The 25,263-nt window shown below is 52.6% G+C and overlaps 1 long non-coding RNA gene across 2 annotated transcripts, besides 5 other annotated features; it reads right to left on the reverse strand.

The window, feature by feature from the left end:
- Window positions 1-22: 22 nt before the first annotated feature.
- LOC107987243 (uncharacterized) lies at window positions 23-25,175 on the reverse strand. 2 transcript variants are annotated; one of them, XR_007065771.1, is made up of 6 exons: window positions 24,661-25,175; window positions 19,463-19,657; window positions 9,386-9,431; window positions 7,540-7,733; window positions 3,229-3,339; window positions 23-60 (listed from the first exon to the last, which is right to left on the reverse strand). It is a non-coding gene; the product is annotated as an uncharacterized LOC107987243 (long non-coding RNA). The 2 variants fall into 2 exon arrangements; XR_007065772.1 differs by lacking the exons at window positions 23-60; window positions 3,229-3,339; window positions 7,540-7,733; window positions 9,386-9,431 and adding an exon at window positions 13,734-15,402.
- Window positions 8,594-9,346: an enhancer, noted in NCBI's record as "H3K4me1 hESC enhancer chr17:43074788-43075540 (GRCh37/hg19 assembly coordinates)". NCBI's record gives its function as "activates a minimal SCP1, AML or CMV promoter by ChIP-STARR-seq in naive H9 embryonic stem cells {active_cell/tissue: H9 hESC(naive)}" and the evidence as "EXISTENCE:reporter gene assay evidence [ECO:0000049][PMID:30033119]".
- Window positions 14,769-15,532: an enhancer, noted in NCBI's record as "H3K4me1 hESC enhancer chr17:43080963-43081726 (GRCh37/hg19 assembly coordinates)". NCBI's record gives its function as "activates a minimal SCP1, AML or CMV promoter by ChIP-STARR-seq in naive H9 embryonic stem cells {active_cell/tissue: H9 hESC(naive)}" and the evidence as "EXISTENCE:reporter gene assay evidence [ECO:0000049][PMID:30033119]".
- Window positions 16,822-17,778: an enhancer, noted in NCBI's record as "H3K4me1 hESC enhancer chr17:43083016-43083972 (GRCh37/hg19 assembly coordinates)". NCBI's record gives its function as "activates a minimal SCP1, AML or CMV promoter by ChIP-STARR-seq in naive and primed H9 embryonic stem cells {active_cell/tissue: H9 hESC(naive and primed)}" and the evidence as "EXISTENCE:reporter gene assay evidence [ECO:0000049][PMID:30033119]".
- Window positions 19,309-19,809: an enhancer, noted in NCBI's record as "H3K4me1 hESC enhancer chr17:43085503-43086003 (GRCh37/hg19 assembly coordinates)". NCBI's record gives its function as "activates a minimal SCP1, AML or CMV promoter by ChIP-STARR-seq in primed H9 embryonic stem cells {active_cell/tissue: H9 hESC(primed)}" and the evidence as "EXISTENCE:reporter gene assay evidence [ECO:0000049][PMID:30033119]".
- Window positions 23,798-24,584: an enhancer, noted in NCBI's record as "H3K4me1 hESC enhancer chr17:43089992-43090778 (GRCh37/hg19 assembly coordinates)". NCBI's record gives its function as "activates a minimal SCP1, AML or CMV promoter by ChIP-STARR-seq in primed H9 embryonic stem cells {active_cell/tissue: H9 hESC(primed)}" and the evidence as "EXISTENCE:reporter gene assay evidence [ECO:0000049][PMID:30033119]".
- Window positions 25,176-25,263: the final 88 nt, after the last annotated feature.

Below are 25,263 nucleotides of genomic sequence, written 5' to 3' on the forward strand. Positions count from 1 at the left end.
GCGGATTGCTTGAGGTTAGGAGTTCGAGACCAGCCTTGCCAACATGGTGAAACCCCGTCTCTACAAAAAATAAATACAAAAATTAGCCGAGTGTGGTGATGCACACCTGTAATCTCAGCGACTCGGGAAGCTGAGGCACGAGAATGGCTTGAACACAGGAAGTGAGGTTGCAGTGAGCCGGGATCGCGCCATTGCATTCCAGCCTGGGCAACAGAGCGAGACTCTGTCTCAAAAAAAAAAAAAAAATTATATGGACATGGTGTTGCACACTTGTAGTCCCAGATACTGGGGGAGGAGGGATTGCTGAGCCCAGGAGGTCCAGACTGCAGTGAGCCATCATTGAGCCACTGCACTCCAGTCTAGGCAGCAAAGCAAAACCCTGTCTCAAAAATTAATTAAATTACACAAAATAAACACAGACCTCAGCTTTGCTTCCTACTGGCTTCCATGATATCAGTGAAGTTTTGAACTGGACTCTCAAGCACACTTTGCTCATCAAATGGGAATAGTAATAGTTACCTACCTTACCAGCGTGTTCTGGAAATTCAATGTGATCATCTTTATGAAGCTACTACCAAATCGAGCTCAATTGAAGAGAACTTTGAACTCAAATCAGCGGGACCGTGCCCTTGCCACCCCACAGTCAGCCAGGGCAGATGAGGGGACAGTGTGTGGGAGTGGGAAGGGGGACCTCTGGCCACTGCTCTCCTTCAGGACAAGGACAGGTGGGCCCAGTGTCCCCCTTTGCCCACTCTCGTTTCCCTACTGCCTCCTGGGGGTTGGGCCGGAAGCCCCTTTGCACCTACTCTCCACCTCCTATTTGTGCACCCCCTATAGCCACGCATGCTGGCTGCTCCCTCACCTGTGACTGTGCACTCCCCCCCCCAGGCTTTCCAGTGATGTCTCACGCACCCAGAGTTACATACACCCAATTACATAGAGTTGGACGCGGTCTGCACGGCCCATTGCACACCGTTTCGCAGTTTCTCCCACAGTCACAGTCCCAGCTTCCTGGTGCTCACACGCAGCTTCACACACAAGCACCCTCACCCAGCGCCACCCGCATGGGCTCACCCGTGGGCCCCCACCCCACAGAGTTGCACATTGGTGGCACACACGCATGCACACACACACGCACTCACACTGGTTCCGTAATAATATTAGACATGCCATTTCTTTTGCATGACAGTTCCAGTGGAGATGCTCAGAGCTGTCACTTGGATGAAAAATAATGCATAATCCTCATCTTCCTTCCTTCCCTTCCTTTTCTTTCTTCCCTGTTTAATGAGCTCCTAAAAATATTCCTTGCCGTCTCGCCGAGGCTGTGGGCTAACTATGAGTCGGGCCTCCCCCACCAACTGTCACCATCCTCGTTGCCTCCCTCAGCCCCCTGAGTGGGATGGAGGGTGAAGCGGTACAGTGAGTCCTGGTGGTTGGCCCAGTGGAGGTCAGGCCAAGGGGCTCTCACCCAGGCCTCCCGAAGATCTCAGAGTCCCACTTGTCCCCTCTCTTGGCTAGCCCACTTGAGCAGGGGATGAGAGAAACAGAGAGACATGGGGGAAGAAAGATAGGCAGGAATCTCCTTTCGGTACCTGACCACTCTCAGCTACCCCCTCTGCAGCGCCTGAGCAACTGCACAAGACCAAACTTACCTATCACCCCTTCTACCCCAAGAAGAAAAGGTCCCTCTCCACCCCCTTGCACACCTGGTTCATCCTCCCTCCCAGAACTCAAAGTGAAGGGGAATGGGAGAGACAGTCAGAGCCCCCTCTGACCCCCAGCTTCTCCCAGCACCTTATCTTGGCTCTGTTGGGAAAACTGCAGTGCTCAGTTTCCTCCAGTTCATCCTTTAAGCCCCAGATCAAAGTCAACTCCTCCCTGAAGCCTTCCTGATTCACACAGAAGGGGATATTTGTTCACTGCAGATATCAACACACTTTAATAATAATAAATTTACCAGCCAGGCACGGTGGCTCATGCCTGTAATCCCAGAACTTTGGGAGGCCAAGAAGGGCGGATCACCTGAGGTCAGGAGGTCAAGACCAGCCTGGCCAACCTGGTGAAACCCCGTCTCTACGAAAAATACAAAAGTAGCCAGGATTGGTGGTGCACCCCTGTAGTCCCAGCTACTCGGGAGTGGGAGGTGGAGGTGGAGGCAGGAGAGTCGCTTGAACCCCGGAGGCAGAGGTTGCGGTGAGCCAAGATAGTGCCACTACACTCCAGCCTGGGCGACAGAGCAAGACTCCATCTCAAAATAAATAATACATAAATAAATAAATTTGCCAAGGAAAGCTATTGTGTGTGGTACCTGGTGGGAACTCCTGTGTGTCGTTTCCTTATTTACGTGAGTCATTCTCACCGGATCTGAGTCCCTCCCAGCTGGGGACCTCACTAGGCCACCCAGCTCTGGCTAAGTGAGAGCTCATATTCCCCGAGCGGTTGGAGGGACAGATGGATGGATTCATGGACAGATGGATGGGAGATGGTGTAGGAGGAGGAGTTCAGGGTCCCGAGTCAGGGGCCTGAATGTTCACCCAGTTCCCGCCCACATTCACTGAGACTTGGGAAAGGCAAAGCTCTCTCTAGGCCTTGGTTTCTCCATCTGTAAAATGAGAGAGCTGGGTCAGGTGGTGTCTGAGAGCTCGGAGGTCTCTTGCAGCTCAGGTAATCTTCATTCTGTGATTCTCTACAGTGTCAAGCAGAGTAAGCCTTTCTAATGCTTTTCACTTCCCGCCTTACTGGCTGCAAGAGGCTGGGTGGTATGACGAACAGGACAAGGAGCTCTCTGCACAGCTATCTGGAGCTGTGTTTTCCCAGCCTGTCCTCTGTCTCCTACTTCTTCCATTTTTTTGTTCTAGTCTCCTTAATTCCACTTTTATGACTTCCTTTCATTCTGTTCCTTTTCTTGCTTTTTCTGGGCCCGCATCCTACCCATTAGTAGCTCATAGTGAGCAGCCCCCTCTGCCTCCTTTCCTCTGCCTCCCTCTCCCAGCTCCACCTGCTTCAGAAGCCCCCTCCCTGTGGCCTCCCCATCTCATCCCAGCAGCTCCAGTCCCGAAAGGTTAAGCTAATAGCAACTCCTTCCCCATCAGCTGCTCTTGTTTGCTCTACATAATTGCAGGAGAGGGGGGCTGAGATGGGAGGGCCCTCTCAGTGGTTACGAGGTATAGGGATGGGGCTGTGCAGCCTTGTCCCTGGGAAGCGGGGCTGGGGGAAGGTGGTACTTACAGAAATGCAGTGGTAGGCTGTGTGGGAGCTGATCCAATGGGACAAGAATTGGGCAGAAGGCCAGCTGCAGCATAGATGCCTAGAGAAGGGGGAGTGGAGTCCAGAGAGGGGCTACAAAGGAGGAAAATAATCATGACAGTGGCCATAAGTGGCATTTGTCAAGCACGTACTATTTGCCAGGCACTGTATCAAGCACTTTACTGGCGTTGTCTCACTGAATCTTCCCAACAGTCCCAGGAGGCAGGTTCAGCTCTTGTGAACATTATTTTTTTTTTCTTGTGCCCATTTTACAGGAAACTGAAGCTCCAGGAGGCTAAATCATTGTCTGAAGTCACGTGTTGCTAAATGGCAGAGCCTCAAGCAGAGACTGCTGTCAATCACTCCTGCTCAGAGACGGTCAGGGCTTGCAGGGACCTGGGAGGCCATTGGGTCCAACCCATTCATTATCCAGAGGGACAGAGGGAGATAGACTAGTCTAAATTCACACAGCAAGTTGTTGACACAACTACGCAGAGAATCCAGGCCTGATACAGAAGGAGTTGTTCATCTTCTGAGCCTAAGTCCCCCTGGAGACTTCCTGTGGATGGGTGCTTGGGTGAAGGGTGGTGATGTAGACAAGGCCAGCCCCAGCTGGAGAAGGCCATGTTGTGCGTGGTGTGTGCACAGTAGAGGGGAGGCCCACCTGGAGAGCTCCACCTGTCTGCCAGGGAGCAGCAGCCCTGGCCTTTTGCTGGGTTGAGTATCTCCAGTAATTCAACAGGAGCCTAGGGGAGCCCAAAGCAGCACACATGGAAGGTGGGGCAGGCTGTGTCACAGTCAGTGGGAGTGAATTTAGGTCAGCCCTGGGAAGTTGGATCAGGAAGTCAGTATGCCTGGGTCTCAGTCCATCACAGCTGCAGACTTGGGGCTGTGCTGGCCTCCACATTCCTGCCTCTCATCTCAGGTCCTGTCTCACTGGCACATCTGCTCCAATCAGGACAGCTTACCTCTTGTTTTCCTCCAAGCAATGGACACTCTCAAGGCAGGTACTTCCTCCCACTTTAGATTTGAGGGCTTCCCAAAGCAAGGACTCTTATCACACTGGAGCTTCGAGGACAGGGATTGAGTCTCCTCCATCAGAGTGGACATTCACCTAAGGCTGAGATTGTGTCTCCCCCATCAGAGGCCCCCTCCAGCCTCTACCCCTGTGATCTAATGGTCATAGCAGCTCCAGCATTGGCTCCATCCTGAAACATCCACCCCACCCCCGCCCCATCCCCATCTCACAGCAATGAGTTACCCTGTCCCTTCCCGGCTCCTGCCTGGGGACCCATGAGACTTTCCTTGCAGTGATGTGCTATCAGATGGGTTCAGCTCTGACCAAGTGGCCCCCTTCCCTCTGCCTGGACCCTTAGCAATGGTCGTCAGAGCAGCTACCCTCTGTCACTTCGTGGTGAGCATCCATAAGCCCTTGGCAGGGTATGACCCTTTCCCACCACTCACACCACAAATGGGACCCTCACAACAATATAGTGGCAGGGCTGGGGGAGAGGGGTGCCTCAAAGGCCATCTTTCTTGAGAGGGGGGGTCTTCTAGGCTCTGCTGGGACACACTGCCTCTTGAAGTAGGGAAGCTCTCTCTTATGGAGAATGACCTGCTTTTGGAGAAACTATCCTCAGAGGAAGCCAAAATCCATCTCCCTGTGACTGTCCCATGGAAACCCAATGCTCCCGCTCATCTGCCTGCAACTCTGCAGCTTGCCCAGTGCTGGGTTACTCCCATATCTGCAGCTCACCGCGTGCCCGGGTGCAGGCCCCCAGCTCCCACCAGCACTGCAGGGGGCAGCTGTGAAGGGCCTGGCGGATGAGCAGGCAATCTCATTTGTATTCTGAGTGGCCAGGCTGTGCCATGGCTTTCTCCAAGAGAACCCTATCCTCTCCCTCAGCTCCGTCTTTCAAAACTTCTCCAAGCAGCATCAATAATGGGAATCGATTCATCAATGAGCATCCTGGCCTCTCAGGCCCCATCCCCACTGTGGAGCTTTGCTGCATCCCTAAGTACTTCAGCTTCTTGCCCACTCCATCCCCCATGTCCCATGCAGCACTTCTAGGGACCTGGCCCTGCCTTCCAGCCTGCCAGGATCCCAGGAGACCAAGCCTCCACCTCTGCCTCCGGACAGCTTTACTTTGGCTGAGCAAGGAGGATAGCCTAGGCCTAGAGGAAGACATGAGGGCAGCGAACCTGGGGCTGAGCTCAGAGCTGCTTGAGCCCTTCAGGCCCCATTCAGAGTGGGAGAGGGGGTGTCATGCCTTAGAGATGTGGGGACTGACCCCCTTATCCCAGCCTCCAAACACTGACGACCCAACATCAACCTCTTAACACTGCCTAGCTAAGACTGATCATCCACCAAAGTACTGACCACCCACTGACCCAACCCAGCCTCCTAACACTGATGGCCCAGGCCCAGCCAACTGTCTAATGTCTCCCCAACCATCCACTGATCAGCTTGATGGCCCAACAGTACTATGGATGCACAACCAGAACCAACTGCCTGTCATGACCACCCATCACCGAGATCGCTACAATCAACATCCAATAATGACCTTCACTACAGACCTACCCTAATGGACCACCCCAAATTACCTGTCCGTAACCAGTCTCCACTGCCCATCTATCCAACAAGGATCCCCCAATCACTGATCATCATGTCACTTCCTGCTGGACCCTTGTGTGTCACCAGCAACTCTTCAGATGGCTGCTGGCTACAGCTAGATTTCCCTGGCACTGGCTGGAACTAATCTGAACCTCCTCCAGCTCCTAGGACTTGTCCAGTTGGCCAGTGGTGAAGCTGCTGGGTGTCTAGACCTGTCCCTCTCCTTCTCACCAGGCCCTATCGACTCCTACCAGCCAGTACTGCCCAGCTGCACTACAGTTGGGATGGGAAGAATTTTCTTCACTGCAGAGGAAGGAGGAGAGGGGAGGCAGAGGAGGCCCAGAAGGGCAGAGGCTGGGAGCAAGGGGAGGAGGGAACAAGGAGTTAAGAAATGGCCAGGGCAGGTCAGGCACGGTGGCTCATGCCTGTAATCCCAGCACTTTGGGAGGCCGAAGTGGGAGGATCACTTGCGGTCAGGAGTTCGAGACCAGCCTGGCCAACGTGGTAAAACCCTGTCTCTACTAAAAACACAAAAATTAGCTGGGTGTGGTGGCATATGCCTGTAATCTCAGCTACTCAGGAGGCTGAGGCTGGAGAATTGCTTGAACCTGGGAGGTGGAGGTTGCAGTGATCTGAGATCATGCCATTGCACTCCAGCCTGGGCGACAAGAGTGAAACTCCATCTCAAAAAGAAAGAAAGGAAGGAAGGAAGGAAGGAAGGAAGGAAGGAGGGAGGGAGGGAGGGAGGGAGGGAGGGAGGGAGGGAAGGAAGGAAGGAAGGAAGGAAGGAAGGGCGGGCCAGGGCAGAAAGGAGGCTGAGAGGTGGGAAGGGGGTGCAGTTCTCAGCATGTCGGCCCTGCGTGCTGCCTCGGCCCCTCCTGACCCCTCCTGGCTGCCCTTGCTTGATGGAAAGCTCCACAGAGACTTGGAGACTCAAGCAGAGCAAAAGCTCCTGATCCCCCTTCACCAGGGACTGAGGACCAGGGCCATTCATTAGACGAAGGAGCAGCTGCTCTGGGCCCAGGGACCGAGTGGCAGGAAATCACTCTGTCTCTGGAAGCTGTGGCCTGGCCCCGGCCTCCCGGGTTGGGAGGCTGTCTGTCCACCCTTGTGCTCTGTGGGGCCCACCCGGGGATCTGCATGTGCTAACTGTAATCCCTGCCTGCTGCCAACCTTGGAGCCAGGCCCAGGAGATTCCATATGCCCGAGGAGAAACCGGCTCCTGGACTGACTCTGACTTGCCATGGTCAAGTCATGTCCCTTCCCCAGGCCTCAGTTTCCCCATCATTCAATGAGGAGACTCAGTTCTTTCTCTGAGGAAGGAAGCTGTCTCTGGCTGCCCTGAGGGGGGATCTCTGGGCTCTCTTCGTCCTCTCGTGGGCACCACCATAGGCCCCCTGGACTTGTCTGGAGCTGAAACAAGGCTGAGCCCAGTGGCAATGACTTCTGGATTCTGGGTCCTTTATCTGCTCTCTAGCCCCGCTTTGGGAAGAGTCACCGTCTGCTCGGGTGCTGGACTCACATCACCGGCTGAAGCCGGCGGGGCTCAGGAGCTGGAAGGCTGCTCAGGGCTGCTGGCTCAAGACAGAGGGCGAATGTGGGAAGCACAAAGGGCTTGGGGAGCTGAGTAAATTGGAGATGGGGGAGATGGAAGGCAGGCCAAACGTCAAGATACCCACCCCGCTTCCACTGGCCACCTCCAGACGATACGGTGGAAACTCGTAGAGTGATGCAAGGACTGTCCTCTGTCATGAGAACGTTCTGAGTTGGTGGGAAGGAGACAAGATGTCCCAGTGGTTCCTCCCAGCTGCCGGCGTCTCTGAGGCTCGGAGTCTAATGCTGACCAGGCAGCAGCTGCCTGCTCTGCTGTTTCCTGCAGGGGTGGGGACAAGGGAGATGGATAAGATGTGGCTCCTGATGGATGGGGTCCTTTCTACCCAGTGGAGGAGATGGGACTGTTGTCCAAGAAATCACAGGAGTGCAGCATTCATTGAGCCTCTACGTGTAGATACACACACACACACACACACACACACACACACTCAAAGATGGCAGGAGTGAGGTTGCTTGGTATAAACCACAGGAGTTAAGGAAGGAAGAACTCAGGAGGCTTCAGACAGCTCGGAAGCCTTCAGCAGGAGGCAGGAGTTAGTCTGGGTCTTCAGGACTCCTGGGACATGGCTTCATGGAGAAGAGGGTAGTCATTCCAGGCAGAGGGAACAGCCCGTGCAAAGGCACAGAGAGGGGATGGTGGGAACACGGGCAACAGAACCAACTTGCAGGAGCCAAGGGAGCAAGCAGGATATGGAAGAAGCTGAGGAGGAGTGGTGGTTAGGGGACCTCTCAAATGCCCTTTTATTTTATTTTTACGTTTTATTGTTTTGAGATGGAGTCTCCCTTTGTCACCCAGGCTAGAGTGCAGTGGCGCGATCTCGGCTCACTGCAGCCTCCGCCTCCTGGGTTCAGGAGATTCTCCTGCCTCAGCCTCCCGAGTAGCTGGGACTAAGCACACACCACCATGCCTGGTTAATTTTTATATTTCTAGTAGTGACGGGGTTTCACGATGTTAGTCAGGCTGGTCTTGAACTGCTGACCTCAAATGATCCACCTGCCTCAGCCTCCCAAAGTGCTGGGATTACATGCGTGAGTCATCGTGCCTGGCCTCAAATGCTCTTTTAAGGCATGAAGATTCTTTTCTGATCCCCACATATGAGCATATGGTATGATTGGTTGTGTATGCTTAAGGGAGAGATAGGGCAAGATGTTTGAAATATGGGCCATTTTAGAAAAGCAGGCAATTTTGGCAGTGGAACCTTTTACTTTTGCATTTTCCCAGCCCTTCCTAACTTGCAGGTCATACCAGGTGGAGCTGGGGGCCATCTTCCAGGAACGTGCATCCCCAGAGGTGGATAGAGGAGGGGTACCATTTCCACAGGACACAGCCAAGGACCTCGTACCTACGTGAGGCACAGGGCCCTGGGTATCCTGCTTCCTGACTTTGCCTGCCTGCCCTAAACTAAGCTGCCCTTCCCACTTTAGTTCAAAACCAATCCTGTTCTTGCTGGTCCCAGGCCTCCTCTGAACAGGATGGAAATCAATGAACAACTTGCTGCTATTTGTAGATCTCATTTCCCTGCTGGTCCCCCAACCCTGGATGATCCTGACCAAGTTCAGCCCTGCCCATGCTACTCAGTCAGATGCACTGGCACTGTGCCCATCCACTCGGAGCCCAGTGCTCAGTACTGGGGCTGGCCCAGGGGAGCCGCAGCCCAGAGGCCCCTGCAGGGGGCAGGGCTTATCCTTTAGCTGGGACTAGAGGGTATGGATCCCTGAGAGCCTAGAGGAGATAAGGACAAAGCACAGACTCAGGAATCTGAACTGTTAAGAAAACCCTCCAAGGGATTCAAGGGAAGCTGGTGCAAGAATTGCTGGGAAATGAACAGCAAGCACTGGCTACTGTCAGCTTCCCTTCCACCTGCTAGCTGTGTGACTTTACTTACCTTCTCTGTGCCTCAGCATCCTCACCTGTGAAATGATGGCACGAAGAGCTCTGGCCTCGTTGAGCCTCTGCCTGGAGGGTTAACAGAGGAAACATAGGCATAGGGCTTAACTCAAAGCCGAGCACTTAACAGGCATTCGTCAGTGATTGACAGCAGCAAGTGAGACCAAGGGCCAGGAGCACCAGCACACTGGCCTTCTGCCTGGCCAGCCAGCCCCTCCTGGACACCCTTAGGGTCCCTGGGTGGGTAAGCTTGGTAACCTGTCCTAGAGCAGTGTGCCCATGCTGCACTCAAGGCCCATATTAGTCCCCTGGATGATGAGCGGGAGAGGCTCCCAGGAGGATGAGCAGGGGTAGGCTTGGCCTCGTGGAGGGAAACAAAACATTGACTCCCTAGGAGTTCCTGATCTGCCAGTCAGGATGATGCTGTTGAGGAAGCTGTAAGGTGTCGCCTTTAGGAGGGGTCAGGGAGGGGTCCCAGCAGGAGGCTAGACACTTCCATGGGTGCTCAGTCCCTCAGGTTAGAGGGAAAGCCATACAGAGCCTGGGGTGGTGGGGGCCAGTAAGGCAGAGGGGAGCTGGATGCTTCCTTCCCACTGGGGGTGGGTAGTCAATTCCAAAGAACCACAACCCTTTCTCTTCTTTGATCTCTCTCTCTCTCTTTGTTGCCTTGCCTGTATGTATGGTAAAGCTTTCTCTTCTTCAAAGGGGCCCCAGGTGCCCAAGACTCCCTTCCCACTACCTTGAGACACACAGGGCATAACAGTTACAAATGTGGAGTTCAGCTCAGCTTGCTTGGTTTCTTTTTTCAACTTTATTGAAGTATAATTTACATACAATAAAATGTACACATTTTAAGTGTTCAGTTTGATGAGTTTTGACAAATTTATAGACACATATAACTACCACTACAATGAAGATATAGGGCATTTGCATCATCCCAAAAAGCTCCCCTGTGCCTCTTCCCCGTAGTTCCCCACCCTTCCCCCAGCCCCCGGCAACCACTGATCTGCTTTCTGTCACTATAGATTAGATTTGTCTTTTCTGGATTTTCATATAAATGGAATTATGTAATATGTACTCTTGGTTTCTGGCTGCTTTAACTGAGCAGAATGTTGATGAGATTCATCCTTGTTTTTATGGTGGTACTTTATTCTTTTTGTTGCTCAGAAGTATCCCATTATTTGCACATACAACAATCTGGCCACTTGCTGATGGACATTTGTCTTGTTTCCAGGGTTTCAGTTGCTGTGAATGAAGCTACCATGAGCATGTGTGTACACACAGGTCTTTCAGTAAACATATATTTTCATTTTTCTTGGTTAAACACCTGAGAGTAGGATAACCGAATCTTGTGGTTATTGTATGCTTAACTTTTCAAGAAACTGACAAACTGTTTTCTGAAGTAGTTGCACCATTGTACATTTCCATTATCAGCATGTGAGAGTTCCAGTTGCTCCACAAGCTCATCAACACTTACCATGGTCAGTCTTCCAATGGCTGTGCAGTGTATGTAATTGTGGTTTTAATTTGCATTTCCCTGATAACGAATAATACTGAATTTTTTTTCATGCACATATTGGCCATCCTATCTCTTCTTTTGACCCTTTTACGATGGGATTGTTTGTCTTCTTCCTATTGAATTGTAAGAGTTTGCTGGATACAAGTTCTTTGTCAGATATATGTATTGCAAATATTTTCTCCCAGGATATGGCTTGCCTTATTTTCTTAGTTGTTTATATCTTGATTCTAGGCTGGGCATGGTGGCTCATGTCTGTAATCCCAGCAATTTAGGAGGCCAAAGTGGGTGGATCATCTGAGGTCAGGAGTTCGAGACCAGCCTGGCCCAACATGGTGAAACCCCATCTCTACTAAAAATACAAAAGTTAGCCGGGCATGGTGGCACATGCCTGTAATCCCAACTACTCAGGAGGCTGAGGAGTAGAATTACTTGAGCCCGGGAGGTAGAGTTAGCAGTGAGCCAAGATTGCACCACTGCACTCCAGCCTGGGTAACAAGAGTGAGACTGTCTCAAAAAAAAAAAAAGAAAGAAAAAAAAATCTTGATTCTATTAGTTCCATGTTGTGCACTCTTGAACAAGGTACTTAGTCTTTCTGACCCTTCATTTCCTTATCAATAAAATGGGTCTAAAAGTACCTAGCATATAGAAGTGTTGTGACATTTAACTCAATTAATATATGTAAAATACCTAAACCCAGAGGAGGTCTTCAACTCGTAGTGGTCATTACTGCTATTATTAGGCTGGTGCAAAAGTAATTTGCTATTAGTTTCAATGACAAAAACTGCAATAACTTTTACACCAACCTAATATTTTCAGGCAGTTAATGGCTTCTCTTTCCCCTCTCCTGGATCTGGCCCTGATAGGTTGATATCTCTTTTCTGTCCATCTAGCTCCTGAGGATCCCATGGGCAGGCAAGGCAGGGACAGGATGGAAATAGGATGATGACTTAAGTCATCCTGTGCCCATCCTGCCCAGACACACAAATTTGGGAACCACAAGGTACTGAGCCCAGGGGCCCACCATCCTGGAGCCTCAGAGAGAAGGAAAAAGTCTCTGGGACCCCATAGCTCCTACTTGTGGACCCATGCACATTCACAATTCCTTAGTCACAAAGTCTACACAAACATATGTATGCCACCCCATCACACTCTGCCTGGCACCTGCACAAACTCAGACACTTACACGGGAAGAGAAATGCAGCCATCACTCTACTCCCCAACCCCCACTGCCACTGATCAGGAAGAGCCAGCTTACTGGCCAGACCATGCATAATTCAGAGGTTTGGCCCAAAATAGTTCTATCAGGCCCAGATTCTCCAGTGGGGGCTAGGGGAGGAGCAGGAGCAGCAAAGGGAGTGGGGAGAGACATCTCAACTTGGAGAAGACCCTAGAGTCTGCCTCCTGCCCTAGGTGCCTGGGCAGAGCCTGGGGGCCAGGGGAACTTCAGCGCAGCCTGAAGCACTCACTTCCCAAGTTCCCTCTCCCCCCCACACATCCCCAAATCCTCCCACCCTGGGGAGACAGGGTCACCCGCAGGCAGCTGGGAGTGCCAACACCTGGCCATTCACACCTGCTGGGGCCTGGAGTCCTCACCTGTGTGTGTCAGGCTCCCCAGCACCTCCCCAGGGCCCAGGCTGAGAGGGACACTGCTGAGTTCTCAGGCATCTTTGTCCCAGGTCTCCTGTCTTCACTTCACCAATCAATCAGTTGATAAGTCCACAAATATTTACTGAGCACAAGCCCGGGCAAAGCTGGGTCCTAGGACTTCAGAGGGCACCTGGCTGTGCATGGAGAGGCTCAGAACTTGCTGAGGAGGCAGGAAATCCACAGAAAGGACAAAGACTGGGTCAGAGAGGGACAGGCCATGGAGCTAGGGATGCAGGCGGGGAAAAGCTTCCAGCTGAAAGCCTGACTTGAGCTGGGCCTGCCCAGGTGAAGGCCTGGATTCAGAGAGATGGAAAGGCAGGTGGGAGGGACAGGGTCGGCTGGATGGGGGCAGAGGGTCCGAGGCTATCTGGATGTTAGTAAGAAGATTGGCTGATGGAACTGGAGTCATGTGAGGAAGTCATGGGGCAGGACTGGCATGGCCTTCAACCTTTGGTAGTTCAACAAGGATGGGGACTGCACCATATACAACTCCCGGGGGTTTCCCAAGATTCTCCAACGTGATGTTAAGTGCTTTGCTTTGGAGTCAGCCTACTGGGATTCAAATCCCAAAATCACTATGTCATTGCCCCATGACTTTGGGCAAGTGACTTAAGGTGTGTTTCCTTATGTGTTAAATGGGGGTAATAACAGTTTGTACCAGCCGGGTGCAGTGGCTTACACCTGTAATCCCAGCACTTTGGGAGGCTGAGGTGGGTGGATCACTTGAGGTCAGAAGTTCAAGACCAGCCTGGCCAACATGGTGAAACCCTGTCTCACCAAAAATTAGCCGCGTGTGGTGGCACACGCCTGTAATCCCAGCTACTTGGGAGGCTGAGAGGCTGAGGCAAGAGAATCACTTGAACAAGGGAGGTGGAGGTTGTAGTGAGCCGAGATCGGGCCACTACACGCCAGCCTGGGTGACAAAGCTAGACTCCGTCTCAAAAAAAAAAAAAAAAAAAAAAAAGTCTGTACCTCTTGGCCCTGTCGAAGAGATTAAATAAGAAGTGGACATATATTGGGAGGCTGAGGTGGGCAGATCACCTGAGATCAAGAGTTCGAGCCAACATGGAGAAACCCCATCTCTACTAAAAATACAAAAAAATTAGCTGGGCCTGGTGGCAGATGCCTGTAATCTCAGCTACTCAGGAGGCCGACGCAGGAGAATTGCTTGAACCCGGGAGATGGAGGTTGCGGTGAGTTGAGATCGTGCCACTGCACTCTGGCCTGGGCAAAAGAGTGAGAGGCCGTCTCAAAAAAATTAATAAATAAAAAGAAGTGCACAAATAGTGCTCGGCTTGCCTCCCACGTTCTTCCCACCTGCGTGGAGACAGACGCAGCAGCACAGAGTGTCTTCAGGACCTGGGTGGCTGACCAGGAGAGAGTGTTACTGCCCAGCAGTGAAAAGATGGTGTTGGTGGGCCGGGTGCGGTGGCTCATGCCTGTAATCCCAGCACTTAGGGAAGCTGAGGCGGCGGGTGGATCATTTGAGGCCAGGAGTTTGAGACCAGCCTGGCCAACATGGCGAAACCCCGTCTCTACCTAAAAATACAAAAATTAGCTGAGTTTGGTGGTGCGCACCTGTAGTCCCAGCTACTCAGGAGGCTGAGACACAGGAATCGCTTGATCCCGTGAGGCGGAGGTTGCAGTGAGCTGAGACCACGCCACTGCCCTCCAGCCTGGGCGACAGAATGAGACTCCATCTCAAAAAAAAAAAAAAGAGAGAGAGAGAGATGGTGCTGGTGGACAGAAAGCAAGAGGGCCTTCTGACGGAGGAGGTCTTTCAGCTGTGATTTGAGACAAGGTGCCTGATCCAGAACTAGAGGCAATGTGAACTGGTGGGCCCAGTGATATGGGGGCCATGTAATCCGTGGAACACCACACTTTCCATGACACCCTGGGAGTCACAGGAGGGTTTTGGTTTTGCTTTCCTGTGTTTTTTCCCTGCACAGAGTCTGAATGAGGGTTGCTTTGACTCTACGTTCTGAAAGGCTCCTTTCCTCCTCTCCAGCTCGGGCTCCATCCATCTCTTTGGGCCTCTGGCTCAGTCTCTCCATCACTCTGCCTCCACCTCTTTTGGTCTTACTGATTTTGTCTTTCCCTGAGCCCCTTTCTCCCTCTCTTCCTGGTTCCAAGCCTCTCACAGGCTCTGATTCCATCTTCCCCACCTCTCCTTTGCGCTCTCTCTCTCTCTCTCTCTCTCTCTCTCTCTCTCTGTCGTCTCTCCAGGGACCTTTGTAAAACTCTGCACTCTCTTCCTGGAGACTGGGGGCAGCTGGGGAGTGGGGATCGGAGTCCCTGCCTCTAGGGGCCCATGCCCCAGGCCCAGCTCTGTTGATTAGGGCTTTTTTCAGAGGACTGGAGACATCAATGACTGTTACAAGCTTCACCAATGCTGCTAATATTAGCCCAGGAAGGCAGCTCACTGATGGATTAGGAGAAATTAAGAATTCAAATTCTGTAATTCGAATTGGAGGGCTGCTGCTTGCTGACAGCTAATACTTCCCCAGAAATTAATACTTCCCCAGAAATTAATGAGTGAAGGAGGGATGGCAGCACTGGTTTTCTTCTTTGACAATACAATTTTCCCCCGTGATCCACACCTTTGAAACCCCCATCTCCAGGCAGGCACTCGCCTGAAGGGCCGGGGTCCTGTTTGTCTCAGATCTTATTTGTGGATTCCAGAAATTCTCGGGAAGTGGCCTTCTCATTCCCAGCTGAGCCCTCTGCATCTGCCTGCTGGTGCCTCAGCATGAGGCCGGCTGGCTCTGGGAGAGGCAAGGTGAAGCTGGAGAAAGGACAGGGTCAGGGCACCGGCAGAGCTTGCTTTCAGTCCCCTCCTGGCTGTGTGTGACCCTGACAAAGGTCCGAACCTGTCTGTAAAATGGAAATTATAATTTCCCGCATTAGGGGATGTTGGAGGCACAGAGGCAAGCATCTCACAGCTACCTTCCTTCCTCTCTCACCGCTTCCCTTTCTCCCTGGGCATTTCTGCTGTTTGGTCCTTCAGAATACCCACCAACCTCCTCTCAGCCAAACCACACTGAGACCTCCTTGAAACTGCCTCCCCAGGAAGTCTGCCTGGGCTTCGTTCTGTTGAGATTGACTGGCTCCTGAGTGCTCACGGCCTCATTTCTGAACCATCTCTCCTGCTGTCTCAGAGTTTTAGATGATTTCTAAGAAGAGAGTGTCCTGTCTCCCAAACCAGATTGTTATTCTCCTGGAGGTGGCACTGGCCCTGTGCCTCAAACCCAATAGGTGCTCAGTACCTGGCAAATGAATTGAACCAACACCTTCTGTCCTCTTTGCGCCTGCCTCACTGTCCCTTCACCCATGCCCAGTGATGCTTGTTGATGGCAGGTGGGTGCTGGGGCTGGGGTCTGGCCAGTCTTCCCTGCAGTCCCAGTGCCCATGTCTTGGGTGGGGGGGAAGGGTGGTGGGGGAGACACATTCCTGCTGTGAGTAGTACATTCTCCAAAATGGCACCTTTAAGGCATTATATATATATATATATTATATATATATATAATATATATAATATATATATATGTTCTCAGTCTGTTGCCCAGGCTGGGGTGTAGTGGTGCCATCACAGCTCATTGCAGCCTTGACCTCCCAGGCTCAAGCAATCCTCCTCCTTTAGCCTCCTGAGTAGCTGAGACTATAGGCATGGCTGTACCCAGCTAAACTTTTTTTTCGTTTTTTTTTTTTTTGAGATGGAGTCTTGCTCTGTCACCCAGGATGGAGTGCAGTGGTGAGATCTCAGCTCACTGCAACCTTTGCCTCCTGGGTTCAAGCAATTCTCCTGCCTCAGCCTCCTGAGTAGCTGGGACTACAGGCACGCGCCACCACACCCGGCTAATTTTTGTATTTTTAGTAGAGACGGGGTTTCACCATATTGGCCAGGCTGGTCTCGAACTCCTGACCTCGTGATCTGCCTGCCTCGGCCTCCCAAGGTGCTGGGATCACAAGCATGAGCCACCACGCCCAGCCACCCAGCTAAATTTTTAAATGTTTTAACTTTTTTAGAGACTAGGTCTCCTAACACTGCCCAGGCTGGTCTCAAACTCCTGGGAACAAGTGATCCATCAGCCTCAGCCTCCCAAAGTGCTGAGATTACAGGCATGAGCCACCTAAGCGATTTTTTTTAAAAAGTGTTGAGTGAGGCAGGAGGATCACTTACGCCCAGGAGTTTGAAGTTACAGTGAGCAATGACTGGGCTACTGCACTCCAGCCTGGGTGACAGAGCAAGACCCTATCTCTAAAAAAATAAAAAATATTTAAAAAGCATTGGCTGGGCACTGTGGCTTATACTTGTAATCCCAGCATTTTGGAAGGCTAAGGTGGGAGGATCACTTGAGCTCAGGAGGTCAAGACTAGCCTAGGCAACATAGTAAGACCCCATTTCTACAAAAAATTTAAAATATTAGCCAGGCATGGTGGTGTGCACCTGTAGTTTCAGCTTCTCAGGAGGCTGAGGCAGGAGAATTGCTTGAACCCAGGAGGTAGAGGCTGCAGTGAACTATGATGGAGCCAATGCACCCGAGCCTGGGTAACAGAGCAAGACCTCATTTCTAAACAAAATAAACAATTTTTAAAGAAGTGTTGACATGGTGTTTGTTAAGGTGTGGAGAAAAGGAGTTACAGAGAGCCCTGAGAAAGCCAGACCTCAAGACCATGAAGATGCGTCCTTCCTCCTGGCCCCTCAACCTTTCAGCACACCCCTCCCCTCTCCTCCTGCCCCAATCCCAGGCCCACTCTCGCTCCTGGCACCTGGCTGAGCTCTGGCTCGGGGTGGGGAGGGACATCCTTAGCTGCGAGGCAGATGGGCTCTACAAGGCTCAGCGCCTACAAGCCCCTGCAGAATTGGCCACCAAAGAGTTGGTGCTGGACTTCTCTAGCCTCATGGAGAGCCAGAGCACAGGGAGAACCAGTGCAAATGGCTTCCTTCGTTCCTGGGAGGGGTCTTGGGGGTCACCTAGGACCCTCTCTTTGACAGATGGGAAAACCAAAGCTCAGAAAGGTTAGCATATGTTCAAACACCAGTCATCTGTCTAGCAGGGAGAAAGGGTGATCCCAGGAGCAGATAAATCCAAATCCCTTTCAAAGGCCCTCCTGGATCCTGGAAAATCAAATGTTCTTTCCAACTCTGCTTCCTTGGGCTAGTGTTTGAGCAAAAGTCTATTCCAGGTGGGCTGGGACTGGGGGCAGAGGAGGGAAGGAAATTGGCAGGAAAGTAGTTTTCTAAGTGGCTGATGGCTGCTTTGGGCAGGAGACAGGCTGCTAGGAACCTGTTCCCTCCAACCCCCTCCAACCCCCTCCAACCCCCTCCAACCCCTCCAACCCCCTCCAACCCCCTCCAACCCCCTCCAACCCCTCCAACCCCCTCCAACCCCCTCCAACCCCCCCAACCCCCTCCAACCCCCTCCAAACCCCCCCAACCCCCTCCAACCCCCTCCAACCCCCTCCAACCCCCTCCAACCCCCTCCACAACCCACTTGCCTGGGAAGCCTTTCTCCCCACACCCATTTTCTCTTTCCGGCTGAGGCTTACCCTCCATCTACGATGAACGTGGGGGGCCTGGGGAGAGGTAGGGGGCTGGGAAGCAGTCCTGTCTGCCTTTCGAACCTCATGGGCAGGTGGGGCTCCCCTGCCTGACATTCCTATGCTGCTCCCGCCCCCGCGTGGCTCCTCTGATGCCCAAATCGCCTTTTCCCAGATCCAATTAAAACAGCGTTTGGAGCAAGGTTGAAATAATCACATAATAATTTTCTCCAGTAAAGTTACTGGCTGGAGCCCGATTTGAAAGCTGAGCTGGTAATTGAATCTGAGGGGCAGCGACAGAAGAGGAGCTGGGGGGAGTGGTGGAGACTCCTTGTGGGGCCCAGAGGCTCCCGGCTGTGATTACCCCTCCCACCATTGGTAATAGGTGTTGCAACCCCCTCCTACTGTCCATCTCCATTTCACTCCCTCCCTCTAGTAACAGATGTCTCTTGGGGCTACAGAACTCCCAGACTTCAACAGGAGAACAGGCCCAGAGCCCATGCCATCAGACTTTCTCGGTTCACAGGCCAGACTGGGGAGGCCACATGCCCACAGTCACCCAGAGAGGTCAAGCAAAGCCAGGACTCCAACCCAGGTCTCGGACTCTCCAGCCACTGTTTTTTTTGTTTTTTTTTTTGACAGAATTTTGCTCTGTCGCCCAGGCTGGAGTGCAGTGGCACGATCTCAGCTCACTGCAACCTCTGCTTCCCGGGTTCAAGTGATTCTCCTGCCTCAGCCTCCCAAGTAGTTGGAATTACAGGCGCATGCCACCACACCCAGCTAATTTTTGTATTTTTAGTAGAGACGGGTTTCCACCATGTTGACCAGGCTTGTCTCAAACTCCTGATCTCAGGTGATCCACCTGCCTCAGCCTCCCAAAGTGCTGGGATCACAGATGTGAGCCACTGTGCCTGACCCAGCCACTGCTTTAATCTCCACTTCAGGTTTCCTGACTCCCAGGCCCTCCCCACTCTCTCCTGCTCTGCCCATCTTCCTCCACCATCTCCCAGGATTTCCTGGTCCCACCCTAACCTCTCTGCAGCAGGGAGGGGAAGTGACTACCTGCATGATCTCTGGGCCAGCGGGCTGTGCAGCAGGGGCTCCCTGCACATCAACAGCTGACATGACCAGACTGGGCAGCCCTGCTTGGTCCTCCACCATGTCCTCCCTCTCAGCATTTGACTGGGGGCTCAGACTATCTGCCATGTGTGGCTCATTCATTTCTTCCCTCCTCCCTTTCTTTCCTCCACTCTAAATATTCTTTATGTCCCTACTGCCTGTGAGGCCCTGAGCAGGATCCTCCCGCAATCGGGAGGTATAGACAGAGCGGCAGCTGTGCTCACAGGCCCGTGGCAGAGGTGAGCAAGTTAACACAACAAGAGGGGGCCCTCACCTGCAGCTGGGGGACGGGGCATCCTGGCTGAAGTGACCTCTAAGCTGACGTCTCAAAGCTGAAGAGAAGTGCGTGACTCAAGACAAATGCAAAGGCTGGGAAGCAGGAAACGCCCGGGTGTGATCTTGGGCAAGTTGAGGTCTCAGTTTCCTCATCTCTAGAATGAACTCCTGGCTCAGTTTGCCTCGTGAGATTCTGGGGAAGAACGAACATGGAGGTGTCTGTAAGATGGAAAATCCCACTTAACTGATGATCGTTTTTTGTTTTTTTTGAGACAAGATTCTACCCTTGTCAAGGCTGGAGTGCAGTGGTGTAATCACAGCTCACTGCAGCCTCGAACTCCTGGGCTCAAGCAATCCTCCTGCCTCAGCTTCCCCAGTAGCTGGGATTACAAACGTGAGCAACCTTACCTGGCTAATTTTCTTTCTTAAAATTTTGTGTAGAGACAGGGGTCTTGCTATGTTGCCTGGGCTGGTCTCAAACTACTGGCCTCAAGTGATCCTCCCACCTCAGCCTCCCAAGGTTGAGGATTAAGGCGTGATTAAGTGCTGGAATTACAGGAGTGACCCATTGTGCCCAGCCAATGATTGTTGCTAATGGAGGGCATTTGTCCCCTATCCTAGACAAGGGACAGAGTCTGGGGGCGGGGTGGGTCAGTGGTCGGGGTGGTGAGGGAGGCCGGAGGTGGGAGGAATGGGAATCGAGGACTTGCTCTGCAGAGTCCTTGTGGCTATTCGAGACTGGAAGCCAGCAGCTGGATGGGGGCGTTTTCTCACCACATGGCTGGGAGTTGTGGGGATGGAAGAAACCATAGGGTTTGGCCGGGTGCGGTGGTTCACACCTGTAATCCTAGCACTTTGGGAGGCTGAGGCAGGTGGATCACCTGAGGTCATGAGTTCGAGACCAGCCTGGCCAACATGGTGAAACCCCATCTCTACTAAAAATAAAAACCAGCTGGGCATGGTGGCGCGTGCCTGTAATCCCAGCTACTCGGGAGGCTGAGGCAGGAGGATCGACTGAACCTGGGAGATGGAGGTTGCAGTAAGCCAAGATCGCAGCATTGCACTCCAGCCTGGGCGACAGAGCAAAGAAACCACAGGGTTGGTGGCTGCTGGCAGGGCTAAGTCTGGTTCCTCTGGCCAGTGCCCAGCTTCCCCACGCTCACTATCCTCTGGGCCTGGGGCATGCTAAGCCCCAGGAGTCAAGGTGGGACTCTGAAGGGATCTACTCCCCTCCCTGCACCTCTCAGCCAATCAATGTCTGCTCTGCCCTCCCTGACTTCAGCAGAGTTGGTGCCAGATCCTGGAACTCACTGATTGGTTGAGGGAGCAACCCCTCTGCCCACCCCTCACCATGGAGGCTTTTGGAGAGACCTAGCCATGGGCAAGCTTTGTGCCCTGCAAATGGCTCAGTGGTACCAACCACTGAGCTGCCTGCCCCTGGGCCCTCATAAGACCATGTCTGCAGCCTCAGTGGCCTTCTGGGCACGGCTGGCCTCCTGGTCAGCAGCTGTAGGGGTGAGTCACGGCTCTCATTAGAGCTTAATTAATCAATTGAGCTAATCAGACAGCTGTGATGTGCTGTGGTTGCAGATGGGGGGGAGAGGGAGAGAGTTGGAGCGTGAGGGACTGGTAAGGCGAGCTGGGGCTGGCAGGGCCTGGAGTGGCGGCAGGGCCTGGAGTGGCAACAGAGTCTGGTGGGTTGGCAAGGGCGGAGGGCGCTGGAAAGGAGGATGAATGATCCTGACAAAGGCCCGTGATAGGTTGCTCTGAAAGGTGACCTTGGCAAGGTGCCAGAGACCGAGGCTGGGGGAGGAGGAAGCAGGACCTCTCCCACCTCCAGCTTCCTCTCTCATTTTTTATCTTGTTAAGTGTGTCTCCAAAGCTTTTTGAAATCCTCCACTGAATGGGATGGGAAAAGGAGACAAAGACAAAAAAAGGTAGGTCCTCACATTCCCAGTGATCCCAGTCTGATGGGGGAGGCCAGAGGTCTACTGGCAGCACAGACAGAGACCCAGACTAAGAGATGGAGACAGAGACACGGTGTCTCTCCAGGTGAGCTGCTCAGGCTTGGACATCTGGACTGGGTGGATGGGGAGGAGCCAGAGGGACCAGAGCCAAGGGTAGGCGGGAGTCCAGTAAGAATATTGGGAGGAGGGGAGCGCCTGAGCGGGTTTTACAATGTGATGTGCAAAATCTTGTTTCATCTATTTTTTTCTCACATCCGACCTTGGTGTTACCTTGGGGTGGGGAGCGAGCAGGGCAGGAAGTGCAATGGTGGGAAATGGGTTCCGAGAGGACTCATGGACAGCTGGGATAGCTCTGCCCTCCAGGGGCTTCCATTTCCAGAGGCTTACCGGGAGTCTGAGGCTGTGAGAGAGAAAGATCCAGGGCCTGGGACATGCAAGGGGCTACGGGAGATGGATCAGAGGAGGGCAAGCATTTCTGATGAGGCTACCTGGTAAGGATTCCTCCCAGAAGAGGTGGCATTTGAGCCAGGTCTTTCAGAATGGATGGATTTCAATCAGCAGAATTGGGTGTGGAGAGGAAGAAGGATGTTGCAGGAGGAGAAGCGGCCCAGGCAAAGGCAGAGAGGCTGGACAGCCTTAGGCAGGGCCAGTTGGCACAGCAAGTTGGGCCGGAAACAAGGTTACTGTTTGTGTCAGGTGGAAAGAGCTTGATGGTGAAGGGCTCTTGGAATCCCAAACCAAGGAGTTTGAAAGGGAATTTGGTAGACACTAGGAATCACTGTAAGTCTCTAACTGGGAAGAATAGGCTGAAAGTAGCTGTACAGAGAGGATGTCTATGGAAACAGTTCTTTGTAGGATGGAACCAAGAAGGAAGAAACCTGAAACAAGAAGAAAGAAATGGCAGGTGTGGTGACTCACACCTGTCATCCCAGCACTTTGGGAGGCTGAGGCAGGCAGATCACGAGGTCAGGAGTTCAAGACCAGCCTGGCCAACATAGCGAAACCCTGTCTCTACTAAAAATACAAAAATTAGCTGGGCATGGTGGCACATGCCTGTAGTCCCAGCTACCCGGGAGGCCGAGGCAGGAGAATCGCTTGAACCTGGGAGGTGGAGGTTGTGGTGAGCCAAGATTATGCCACTGCACTCTGGCCTGGGCAACAGAGTAAGACTCTATCTCAAAAAAAAAAAAAAAAAAAAAGAAGAAGAAGAAGAAGAAAGAAAGAAAGGCCGGGCGCGGTGGCTCATGCCTGTAATCCCAGCATTTTGGGAGGCCAAGGCGGGCGGATCACTTGAGGTTGGGAGTTCGAGACCAGCCTGACCAACATGGAGAAACCCTGTCTCTACTAAAAAATACAAAAGTAGGCAAGCATGGTGGTGCATGCCTGTAATCCCAGCTACTCAGGAGGCTGAGGCAGGAGGATCGCTTGAACCTGGGAGGGGGGAGGTTGCAGTGAGCCGAGATTGTGCCATTGCACTCTAGCCTGGGCAACAAGAGCAAAACTCCGTTTCAAAAAAAAAGAAAGGCCAAGTGCAGTGGCTCACACCTGTCATCACAACACTTTGGGAGGCAGAGGTGGGAGAATTACTTGAGGCCAGGAGTCCAAGGTCAGCCTGGGCAACATTGAGAAGCCCCATCTGCACAAAAAAAGAAAAAAAATTAGCTCGCTGTGCTAATGCACTACAGGTGCATGCACCTGTAGTCCTAGTTACTTGCAAGGCTGAGGAGGGAGGATCACTTGAGTCCAGCAGTTGTAGACTGCAGTGAGCTATGACCATGCCACTGTACTCCATCCTGGGTGACAGAGCAAGACCCTGTGTAAAAATAAATACATAAATAAGTAAAAGAAGAGGCTGGGCCAGGTGGCTCACACCTATAATCCCAGCACTTTGGGAGGCTGATGCAGGCAGATCATTTGAGCCCAGGAGTTTGAGACCAGCCTGGGTAACGTGGCAAAATCTGGTCTCTACCAAAAATACAAAAAATTAGCTAGATGTGGTGTTGCGTGCCTAGGGTCCCAGCTACTTGGGAGGCTGAGGTGGAAGGATCTCTTGAGCCCAGGATGTTGAGGCTGCCATGAGCCATGTTTGTGCCACTGCACTCCAGCCTGGGTGACTGAGGGAGATCCTGTCTAAAAATAAATAAATAAATAAATAAATAAATAAATAAATAAATAAAGTTAAATCCCAGATCTATCCCTTAGTTGCAGTCTGCAAAAGAAATAACTGAGGGGCTGGGCACCTCAAAGTGTAATCCTAGCACTTTGGGAGGCTGAGGCAGGTTGATCACCTGAGGTCAGGAGTTCAAGACCAGCCTGGCCAACATGGCAAAACCCCGTCTCTACTAAAAATACAAAAATTAGCGGGTATGGTGGTTTGACTATAATCCAGCTTCTCCGGAGGCTGAGGCAGGAGAATCGTTGAATTCTGGGGGCGGAGGTTGCAGTGAGCCAAGATTGCGCCACTTCACTCCAGCCTGGAAAGAGTGAAACTCAAAAACAAAAACAAAAACAAAGATATAACTGAGGGCTCACTGTGGCTCTCGGGACCTGGCAGGTGGGCTGGGGGCTTGGTCCTGGGGTAGCCTGGTGCTTCTCTCCACACTCCTCCCCAGGCAGGGCAATTGTGCAGCTAGGACAGGGAAGACCAGTGGGAAGTAGGGGCTGGGACCACTTGGGCACAAGATCAGCTGGCCCAGGTGTGAGATTCAGGTTTCCAGGTCCCCTTCCCTGGCTCCCAGCATCAGCAGAAAATGTCAGACTAGACCCACGAGGGCCTCCCAGCCAGCACTCGGCTGCCTTTGCATTGCCCTGAAATAGCCCTGTCCACTCCTTCCCACAAACCCTCGCGCCTAGAGCAGCTGAGAAGGAGGTCCTGGGTATCCTGGCCCCACCCCAGCGTGTCCAGCTCACCCACTGCTGGATGTGCTGTGTGGCTCTCAGAAAATCACACCCTTTCTGGGCCGCCCATCCTACCCTCTTTCTCCAGCCTCCCACTGAAGTTGGAGGGCCCCTGCAGACTCTGGGAGTACAGCCAGCAATAGCCAACCAAGGGAGGGGCGGCCTCAAAAGGGGCTCCCTCCCTCCCTCCTCACTTTCTCTTTTCCTCGCGCACGTTCATGGCTTACAAGCATACTGTCTTTGTATAAGAAACCTTTTTACAGCCTTTAAAGCAGGGTTGATCACAGCTATTCCCATTTGAGTGATGGTGCAGTTCCAAGAGGGGCCTTACCTTAGATGCTACAGCCAGAAGACTAGGCACTGACTGGGAATGAGAAGTACCCAAGCCCAGCTGTCAGGCTCTTCCCTCCAAACCAGCTGCTCTAGTTGCCAGGAGACTCTGGAAAGGAGAGCTCAGTGTCTGCCCCAGCCCGGCCCCTATCCTGGCGAAGTGGTCATTAGTCTGCCTCCCCCAGAGAGCCCCTGCTGGGGCACTGTAATGCCTCAGAGGCCAGAAAGTTGCTCCCACCCCCAGCAAAAGGGGGGCTCTGCCCTGTATTTCTCAGGGGCTCACTTCACCTTCTGCCTCCAGAGGTCCCTCCTCACTATCACAGGGAGGGGGCAGGGGTCGGGGCAGAAGCTCCTATCCTGTGGGCTTCTCATTCCAGATCTCTGCTGGCCCGGTGCGGTAGCTCCTGCCACATGTGGCTTCAGGGCACCTGGAATGTGGCTAGTGCCACATGCTGAAATGATATTTTAGATATATTGGGTTAAGTTAAAAAATATTATTTGAGGCCGGGCGCAGTGGCTCACACCTGTAATCTCAGCATTTTGGGAGGCCGAGGTGGGCAGATCACCTGAGGTCAGGAGTTTGAGACCAGCCTGACCAACATGA

This window comes from Homo sapiens, chromosome 17 (genome assembly GCF_000001405.40).
Source record: "Homo sapiens chromosome 17, GRCh38.p14 Primary Assembly".
Lineage (NCBI taxonomy): Eukaryota > Metazoa > Chordata > Mammalia > Primates > Hominidae > Homo > Homo sapiens.